This window comes from Homo sapiens, chromosome 7 (assembly GCF_000001405.40).
Source record: "Homo sapiens chromosome 7, GRCh38.p14 Primary Assembly".
In the NCBI taxonomy this organism is placed as follows: domain Eukaryota; kingdom Metazoa; phylum Chordata; class Mammalia; order Primates; family Hominidae; genus Homo; species Homo sapiens.
The window spans coordinates 53028168-53038014 of NC_000007.14; the positions used below are offsets into that span (position 1 = coordinate 53028168).

Sequence of the window (9847 nt, forward strand, 5' to 3'; positions counted from 1 at the left end):
TTGTATCCTGAGACTTTGCTGAAGTTGCTTATCAGCTTAAGGAGATTTTGGGCTGAGACACTGGGGTTTTCTAAATATACAATCATGTCGTCTGCAAACAGGGACAATTTGACTTCCTCTTTTCCTACTTGAATACCCTTTATTTCCTTCTCCTGCCTAATTGCCCTGGCCAGAACTTCCAACACTATGTTGAATAGGAGTGGTGAGAGAGGGCATCCCTGTCTTGTGCCAGTTTTCAAAGGGAATGCTTCCAGTTTTTGCCCATTCAGTATGATATCGGCTGTGGGTTTGTCATAGATAGCTCTTATTATTTTGAAATACGTCCCATCAATACCTAATTTATTGAGAGTTTTTAGCATGAAGGATTGTTGAATTTTGTCAAAGGCTTTTTCTGCATCTATTGAGATAATCATGTGGTTTTTGTCTTTGGCTCTGTTTATATGCTGGATTACATTTATTGATTTGCGTATATTGAACCAGCCTTGCATCCCAGGGATGAAGCCCACTTGATCATGGTGGATAAGCTTTTTGATGTGCTGCTGGATTCGTTTTGCCAGTATTTTATTGAGGATTTTTGCATCAATATTCATCAAGGATATTGGTCTAAAATTCTCTTTTTTGGTTGTGTCTCTGCCCGACTTTGGTATCAGAATGATGCTGGCCTCATAAAATGAGTTAGGGAGGATTCCCTCTTTTTCTATTGATTGGAATAATTTCAGAAGGAATGGTACCAGTTCCTCCTTTTACCTCTGATAGAATTCGGCTGTGAATCCATCTGGTCCTGGACTCTTTTTGGTTGGTAAACTATTGATTATCGCCACAATTTCAGCTCCTGTTATTGGTCTATTCAGAGATTCAACTTCTTCCTGGTTTAGTCTTGGGAGGGTGTGTGTCCAGGAATTTATCCATTTCTTCTAGATTTTCTAGTTTATTTGCGTAGAGGTGTTTGTAGTATTCTCTGATGGTAGTTTGTATTTCTGTGGGATCGGTGGTGATATCCCCTTTATGATTTTTTATTGTGTCTATTTGATTCTTCTCTCTTTTTTTCTTTATTAGTCTTGCTAGCGGTCTATCTATTTTGTTGATCCTTTCAAAAAACCAGCTCCTGGATTCATTAATTTTTTGAAGGGTTTTTTGTGTCTCTATTTCCTTCAGTTCTGCTCTGATTTTAGTTATTTCTTGCCTTCTGCTAGCTTTTGAATGTGTTTGCTCTTGCTTTTCTAGTTCTTTTAATTGTGATGTTAGGGTGTCAATTTTGGATCTTTCCTGCTTTCTCTTGTGGGCATTTAGTGCTATAAATTTCCCTCTACACACTGCTTTGAATGCGTCCCAGAGATTCTGGTATGTTGTGTCTTTGTTCTCATTGGTTTCAAAGAACATCTTTATTTCTGCCTTCATTTCGTTATGTACCCAGTAGTCATTCAGGAGCAGGTTGTTCAGTTTCCATGTAGTTGAGCGGTTTTGAGTGAGATTCTTAATCCTGAGTTCTAGTTTGATTGCACTGTGTTCTGAGAGATAGTTTGTTATAGTGTCTGTTCTTTTACATTTGCTGAGGAGAGCTTTACTTCCAAGTATGTGGTCAATTTTGGAATAGGTGTGGTGTGGTGCTGAAAAAAATGTATATTCTGTTGATTTCGGGTGGAGAGTTCTGTAGATGTCAATTAGGTCCGCTTGGTGCAGAGCTGAGTTCAATTCCTGGGTATCCTTGTTGACTTTCTGTCTCGTTGATCTGTCTAATGTTGACAGTGGGGTGTTAAAGTCTCCCATTATTAATCTGTGGGAGTCTAAGTCTCTTTGTAGGTCACTCAGGACTTGCTTTATGAATCTGGGTGCTCCTGTATTGGGTGCATATATATTTAGGATAGTTAGCTCTTCTTGTTGAATTGATCCCTTTGCCATTATTTAATGGCCTTCTTTGTCTCTTTTCATCTTTGTTGGTTTAAAGTCTGTTTTATCAGAGACTAGGATTGCAACCCCTGCCTTTTTTTGTTTTCCATTTGCTTGGTAGATCTTCCTCCATCCTTTTATTTTGAGCCTATATGTGTCTCTGCACGTGAGATGGGTTTCCTGAAGACAGCACACTGATGGGTCTTGACTCTTTATCCAATTTGCCAGTCTGTGCCTTTTAATTGGAGCATTAAGTCCATTTACATTTAAAGTTAATATTGTTATGTGTGAATTTGATCCTGTCATTATGATGTTAGCTGGTGATTTTGCTCGTTAGTTGATGCAGTTTCTTCCTATTCTCGATGGTCTTTACGTTTGGGCATGATTTTGCAGCGGCTGGTACCGGTTGTTGCTTTCCATGTTTAGCGCTTCCTTCAGAAGCTCTTTTAGGGCAGGCCTGGTGGTGACAAAATCTCTCAGCATTTGCTTGTCTGTAAAGTATTTTATTTCTCCTTCACTTATGAAGCTTAGTTTGGCTGGATATGAAATTCTGGGTTGAAAATTCTTTTCTTTAAGAATGTTGAATATTGGCCCCCACTCTCTTCTGGCTTGTAGGGTTTCTGCCGAGAGATCCGCTGTTAGTCTGATGGGCTTCCCTTTGAGGGTAACCCGACCTTTCTCTCTGGCTGCCCTGAACATTTTTTCCTTCATTTCAACTTTGGTGAATCTGACAATTATGTGTCTTGGAGTTGCTCTTCTCGAGGAGTATCTTTGTGGCGTTCTCTGTATTTCCTGAATCTGAACGTTGGCCTGCCTTGCTAGATTGGGGAAGTTCTCCTGGATAATATCCTGCAGAGTGTTTTCCAACTTGGTTCCATTCTCCACATCACTTTCAGGTACACCAATGAGACGTAGATTTGGTCTTTTCACATAGTCCCATACTTCTGGGAGGCTTTGCTCATTTCGTTTTATTCTTTTTTCTCTAAACTTCCCTTCTCGCTTCATTTCATTCATTTCATCTTCCATTGCTGATACCCTTTCTTCCAGTTGATCGCATCGGCTCCTGAGGCTTCTGCATTCTTCACGTAGTTCTCCAGCCTTGGTTTTCAGCTCCATCAGCTCCTTTAAGCACTTCTCTGTATTGGCTATTCTAGTTATACATTCTTCTAAATTTTTTTCAAAGTTTTCAACTTCTTTGCCTTTGGTTTGAATGTCCTCCCGTAGCTCAGAGTAATTTGATCGTCTGAAGCCTTCTTCTCTCAGCTCGTCAAAGTCATTCTCCATCCAGCTTTGTTCCGTTGCTGGGGAGGAACTGCGTTCCTTTGGAGGAGGAGAGGCGCTCTGCGTTTTAGAGTTTCCAGTTTTCTGTTCTGTTTTTTCCCCATCTTTGTGGTTTTATCTACTTTTGGTCTTTGATGATGGTGATGTACAGATGGGTTTTTGGTGTGGATGTCCTTTCTGTTTGTTAGTTTTCCTTCTAACAGACAGGACCCTCAGCTGCAGGTCTGTTGGAATACCCTGCAGTGTGAGGTGTCAGTGTGCCCCTGCTGGGGGGTGCCTCCCAGTTAGGCTGCTCGGGGGTCAGGGGTCAGGGACCCACTTGAGGAGGCAGTCTGCCCGTTCTCAGGTCTCCAGCTGCGTGCTGGGAGAACCACTGCTCTCTTCAAAGCTGTCAGACAGGGACATTTAAGTCTGCAGAGGTTACTGCTGTCTTTTTGTTTGTCTGTGCCCTGCCCCCAGAGGTGGAGCCTACAGAGGCAGGCAGGCCTCCTTGAGCTGTGGTGGGCTCCACCCAGTTCGAGCTTCCCAGCTGCTTTGTTTACCTAAGCAAGCCCGGGCAATGGCGGCGCCCCTCCCCCAGCCTCGCTGCCGCCTTGCAGTTTGATCTCAGACTGCTGTGCTAGCAATCTGCGAGACTCTGTGGGTGGGCGTAGGACCCTCCGAGCCAGGTGCAGGATATAATCTCGTGGTGGGCCGTTTTTTAAGCTGGTCGGAAAAGCGCAATATTCGGGAGGGAGTGACCCGATTTTCCAGGTGCGTCCGTCACCCCTTTCTTTGACTCGGAAAGGGAACTCCCTGACCCCTTGCGCTTCCCAAGTGAGGCAATGCCTCGCCCTGCTTCGGCTCGCGCACAGTGCGCGCACTCACTGACCTGCACCCACTGTCTGGCACTCCCTAGTGAGATGAACCCGGTACCTCAGATGGAAATGCAGAAATCACCTGTCTTCTGCGTCGCTCACGCTGGGAGCTGTAGACCGGAGCTGTTCCTGTTCGGCCATCTTTCAAAATAATGCATATTATATGATTCCATTTATATGAAAGTATACAGTATGGAAATCTAGAGACAGGGAGTAGATTAGTGGTTCCTGGGGCTGAGAATGGGGTGGAGAGGTAGGGGGTGATAACTATAGGGTCCAGGGTTTCTTTTTGAAATGATGAAATATTACAATTTACTGGGCTGATGGCTGCCCATATCTGTGAATATACGAAAAGTGATTGATTGTGCACTTTAAGTGGGTAAATTATATAGTATAAGAATTTTCTCAATAAAGTTGTTTTTAAAGAGTTTACCGACAAATAGTCCTGAGTAAAAAATAGATCAGAAGGAAAGAAAACTATGATCAAACTTTAGCACCAAGTTATTGAAAATAATGAAGCTATCAGCTCTACAAACATGAGAAAATATAAAGATCTCAGAGCTCAGGCAAAACAGAGCAACAGAGGACAGAAAGAGCTAACATATAGGCAGCAGTGCTCAGGGAAAGAAAATCAGCTTAAAAATAGAAAACCATGAAACCAGATTTCTCTGGGTAGTAAAATAGTATAAATGGCATATCTTTTCAATAAGAATTCTAGAGTGATTTAGCACTTTAAGCTATCTGAATGGATAATTTGGTTGACAGGTAAACAATAATTAAATAAGTGCTAAAAATAAGTTTTTAAAAATTGAGCGTTTCTAGAAAATATTTTGTCCAGTATTGTTCAAAAGTATCAAGATCATGGGACATAAGAAAAGACAGAGCAAGTCTCACAGATTAGAAGAGACTGAAGAGGATTAGTTCTTAGAAAAGAAAAGCGAGTTAAAAGAAAAACCAGTGAAATTCAAATACAGTCCGGAGTTTACTTAATAGATGGAACCAATGTTAACTTATTAGTTTTGATAAACACAACATAGGTATTATGTAATTTAATAACTTTAGGAGAAGGGTATGAAGCAGGGTTTCTCAATCTCTGCTGTGCTCACATTTTTGGGCAGGTCACTCTGTGTTGTGGGAGTGTGTTTTGATCACTGCAGGCTGTTTCAGGGCCACTGGCAACCTCAGTTGCAGACCTTCTCTAATGTCCTCAGATGGGTGGTGGGGGTGAGAGGGTACAGGTACAGCAAAGTCATCTAATTGAAAACTACTGTTCTACCTTAATCTCTAATATTATCTAACCAAAAGAAATCAGTTGTCTCTTAGTGTGTGAGAAGGAAAAGAAACAGACATGTTCAATGTTTGTGAAAATAACTTTTTACTCACCTTTGCCTTTGAAGGTATAATTAGACTTGACTACTAACTTATGGCTGCCTGCACTTCACCAGTAGGAAGACTGTGGTTTTTTGAAGGATCTTTAACCAAAAACAAACCAAAATGGCACCCATTGGGTTGTACTTCAAATAGGACATGGAGAACTGTGTAGAAACTAAGAAAACATACATTAAAAAAAATCTAGACCCCCACTGCATTAACTGTCCACTCCAATGATAATACCATCTAAAGAGGCTTTTTAGCTATAAAAATTATTGTCATCTTTATCAAGAAATGACTTTTTAAGAAGACAGTTATGGCATAGGAAATTTGTTTTTAAAATCTTATACTGGAGGATTCTTAAGGAATCTGGGGAAATGAAAATGAATGACTGACTGAGTGGAAAGTCCTGGGGCTTTCATCCTGCTGCTCCCCTTGGCTGAAAGTGCCTTTTTTCAGCTGATAATCAGCCCCTTTCTGAAGTACAGAACTTTCGTGAAGATTTCTTATTAAGCTTTTTTCAGTGTCCTCACCATTCACTTGTTTGTCTCTCAAATCCCAAAAGAAAACCTGTTGTGGATTATTGGCTTTGGTATTTTGTCAGTCTCTATTTTTTGCCCCTGTGATTGGACCCACTCAAGTGTTGCCTTCTGCAATGCTGTTGAGAGGCTCTCCAGAGCAGTCTGTCTTACAACACCCTGAACAGACCTCCAAATGTGATGGCTGTAATCAATTGCCCAATAGCCTTCAAATAATGTTTTTGTAGGCAGATCTTTTCACCTGGTGGCTACAAAAGTGAATCATTCTACTCCATATACACATATTACAAGCAAAAAATGGAAAAAAGAAAAACTGCATTAATGTCTGAAGGGAAGAAAATCTATATATGAATGTATGAAAGCTTAAAATTACAGGAGTCTACATAAAATCATCATTGTCAGTTCTCAAACATAAGTTGTGGTGTACAAACACCATTTCCTTAAAAGGTAAATTGCAAGATGTAACATTAATAACCATTCTAGAAGAATAAAACATGTATCTTGTTTACTAGAACAGAACTAGCTGTTTTTCTTAAAAGCATTTCAGTGAGTTATGTTCATTTTTATGGTAATGAAAGGGAAGGCCCTTCTGTCAGTAGTCTATCTGCAGTTTTCTGCAGGTATTATTATACATTCTCTTTCTAAATGTCAAGTATAAAATAGAGCAACATGCTGGTGAGGACACAACATGGTACAGGCTGAGGAGAACATTTTGGTGGTTCCTCTTAAACATGGACTAACCACAGACCCAGAAATTCTACTCCCAGCTGCATACTACATAGACATGAAAATATTTGTCTGCACAAAATCTTGTTCACTAATGTCTATGACAATATTCTTCATGATAGCCCAAACATGCAAACAATCCAAATATCCATCAGCTGATGAAAGGCCAAACCGATGTGTTATATCCATGCAATGGAATCGTTTTTTGGACATGAAAAAGAAGGATGAACAGGTCCCCACAAGGATGAACCTAGAAATCATCATGCTAAGTGATGCCATAGGAGAGCCCACAGGAGGGAAGTCTACAGAGACAGAAAGTGGATTCCTGGTTGTTGCGGCTTGCGGGGACGGGTGGATAGGTGGATAGGAAGGTGACAGCTACAGGGTACAAAGCTTCTTCCTGAGGTGATGAAAATTTTTTTCTAATTTAATGTGGTGGTGGGTGCACATGTGTGGTTGTACCATAAAACCCATTGAATTCTACACTTCAAGTTGCTGAATTATTTGGTATATGAACGACATCACAAGAGGGGGAGGAAGGGGAGCAGACGAGGGGAGGGAGAGTGAGGGGTAGAGGAGCTAAGAGGAGAGGGAGCGGGAGGGGGAGCAGAGAGAAAGGGGAGAGGGAGGGAGGAGGAGAGGACAGGAGACCATGGTAGCTCCTAGGCCCCTCTCTCCAGAGGCAAACTTGCCGGCAGCACCTGGAAGGAGGCTTGTGCCTCCAGTGTCCTCCTGCAGTCTGGGTTTCTGGGCACGTGGCCTGCGCGTGGCGCCATTGTGGAGTGTCCCGCGCCCATGTCCTTCGTGCCTTCCAAGCGCCCAGAGGCCAACGGTCCCCCAGCCATGGGCGCTGCAGCTCCGGCCGAGTCCGCAGACCTCGGGAACTTCTGGAAGGCGGGAGAACCCCTGCTGCAAGGCCCCGACGCCCTGGCGGCTCCCATGAGCAGGTCACCCAGCACGCCCCAGACCACGCCATCTCCCCAGGGTCGCCAGAGTCCCTGGCCCCTGAGGTCCCTGACTCAGAGCCATATTCAGTACTTCCAGTGGGGGCGCCCGGTGCCCAGCACCCACCTCATCGAGGTGCGGCCCACCCAGGACCCCGCCAAGCCGCAGCGGGTGGTCTCCGAGGGCTGGAGGCGCCCTGCCCTTCCCGGGGAGACCGCTCTGGGGCGAGACCTCTCCTGTGCCTGGGAGGGTTGCATGAAAGGGGGGCTGTGTCGTGCCTGGAACCCAGGACGGACCTGGAGCCCGGTGACCATCGGGATCGCGCCCCCTGAGCGTCAGGAGAGCCCCTGGAGATCCCCTGGACAGAGAGCCCGCCCCGCAGGCCGCCCCGCCGCCCAGGAGCTCCTGGACCCCTGCACCCGGGAGACTCTGCTGGGGGCGCTCAGCCAGTGCCCCAAGGGAAGCGCTAGGTTCGACGGGCCGTTGTGGTTCGAGGTCTCAGACAGCAAGGGTGGCAGGCGGAACCTGCAGCCCCGGCCCTCTGCCTTCAAGCCCCTGAGCAAAAATGGAGCGGTTGCTTCCTTCGTGCCCAGGCCAGGGCCTCTGAAGCCGAGCCTCGGCCCCTGGAGCCTCAGTTTTTGTGATGATGCTTGGCCTTCCGTGCTGGTCCAGCCCGCCCCATCCGCCATCTGGGACTTCTGGGAGGCGACAACGCCTTCCTGCGGCAGCTGCAGTAGGGTCTCCTTCGCCCTCGAGGTCACCCAGTCTGCTGGCCCCTTTGGCTCCTAAGAATCTGGGCTCTGCTACCCACCTCCGGAGACACAAGCCCACGTATCTACTTTCACTTGCTCATCCTTGCTCTACCTCAACGTGGGGCCCTGACACCACGTTATCAAACATGCAGCCCCCACACCCCTCGTCTGCCCGCCCCCAGATCTTCCCTCTGTGCTCCCTGCCACCCCAGCAGCTGTTGATTTCAGAACCCTTGCCTTCGCCCTGCTGGCCCTCTCCTCCCTGCCCTTCTTCCTGCCCTTCCTCTGAAAAGAGGCATTTCGGGAAGGCTTGCTTTTTCTCCATGTCTCCCAGTTTGTATAGTTAAATTGTCCAGTTGTATAGTTAAATATTTGATCTTATTAAAAACATTTGTCTGCAGAAAATCTATTTATAATAATAACAATCAAAAAAGCTTTTTATGCCAAAAGAAAGGGCAAAGTGTGTTCCAGGCAGGGGCAAGGGCAAAGATTCTGTATGGGGAATAATTCCTATTTATTTGAAGTCCAAATATAAGTCCAGTAGAGTTGGAGACTAGTGAGAGAGAAGATATGAGGTTAGAGAAATAGACTGTGATGAAGTACTATAAGGCATTGGGACCAGAGTACAGGGTTTATTCTAAAACCATGAGTGTTAAGCAGAGGACAGTCTATGATCTGGTTGATATTTTTAAAAACACGATTCTGGCTACAGCAATGGAAATGGAAACCATAGGAGATCAATACAGTATTTCAAGCAATCCATGGGGATGGTTTGGTCTGAGAGGCAAATGCTACATCTGGAAGGATACAGACAAGTTTGAGGTTGAACTAAAAGATAGTGTGGGACCTGCTAGTGCCCTAGATGTTAGCACTGGGAAAGGGGAAGGGTCCAACAGTTTTAGCTTATGGGCTTAAGAAACTGGATGATGATAGTGTCATTTATCGGGATGGACACTACCAATAGGAGAAAATATTTGAAGAAATCAGGAGTTTTGTTCAGGGCGTGTTCTCTACAACAACAAAAACACTTGCTATGCTGCTGGTCCTGTTAACTGTGCTATAGAAAAAAATAATCCTGAAACTCATTGGAGGGTTTGAACCTGGCAAAATAAATCTGGGAATCATGAACATATAAATTCCTTATGACATAGAAATGGTCCTTAAAACCACAGGCTACTTGAGATCACTTATGCAGAAAATATGGAGAAGGGCAAGGGTGAAGCCTAGGGTACTCCAACATTTACAACATGAAAGATCGGAGAATGGAGAAAGAAGAACCCTCAAAACCAAGAACCATGAGGGAGAAGGAAATCCAGGAGCAGCAGGGACACTGAGGATTCCAGAGCATGGAATTTATCCACCACGGTGGCTGCCTTTGAGAAGAGATGTTCTTTCCCTGATTTCAGAAGAGAAATTGTTTTAGAGTGTTGGAAGTGGGAAGCCTGAACTGCATGGGAGATGGAAGGAAGGGAGGGTGTGTTAGTCCGTT

The 9847-nt window shown here is 44.5% G+C and overlaps 1 protein-coding gene across 1 annotated transcript; it reads left to right on the top strand.

The window, feature by feature from the left end:
- The first annotated feature begins 7465 nt into the window (after positions 1-7465).
- On the top strand, positions 7466-8758 carry POM121L12 (POM121 transmembrane nucleoporin like 12). The gene has a single exon (NM_182595.4). The coding sequence runs from the start codon at positions 7505-7507 to the stop codon at positions 8393-8395; it is 891 nt and encodes a 296-aa protein (NP_872401.3). The 5' UTR covers positions 7466-7504; the 3' UTR covers positions 8396-8758.
- The last annotated feature ends 1089 nt before the right edge of the window (positions 8759-9847 follow it).

Bases quoted from the DNA above. Each gene is read 5' to 3' on its own strand.
- POM121L12 (NM_182595.4), top strand. From the start codon at position 7,505: ATGGGCGCTGCAGCTCCGGCCGAGTCCGCAGACCTCGGGAACTTCTGG.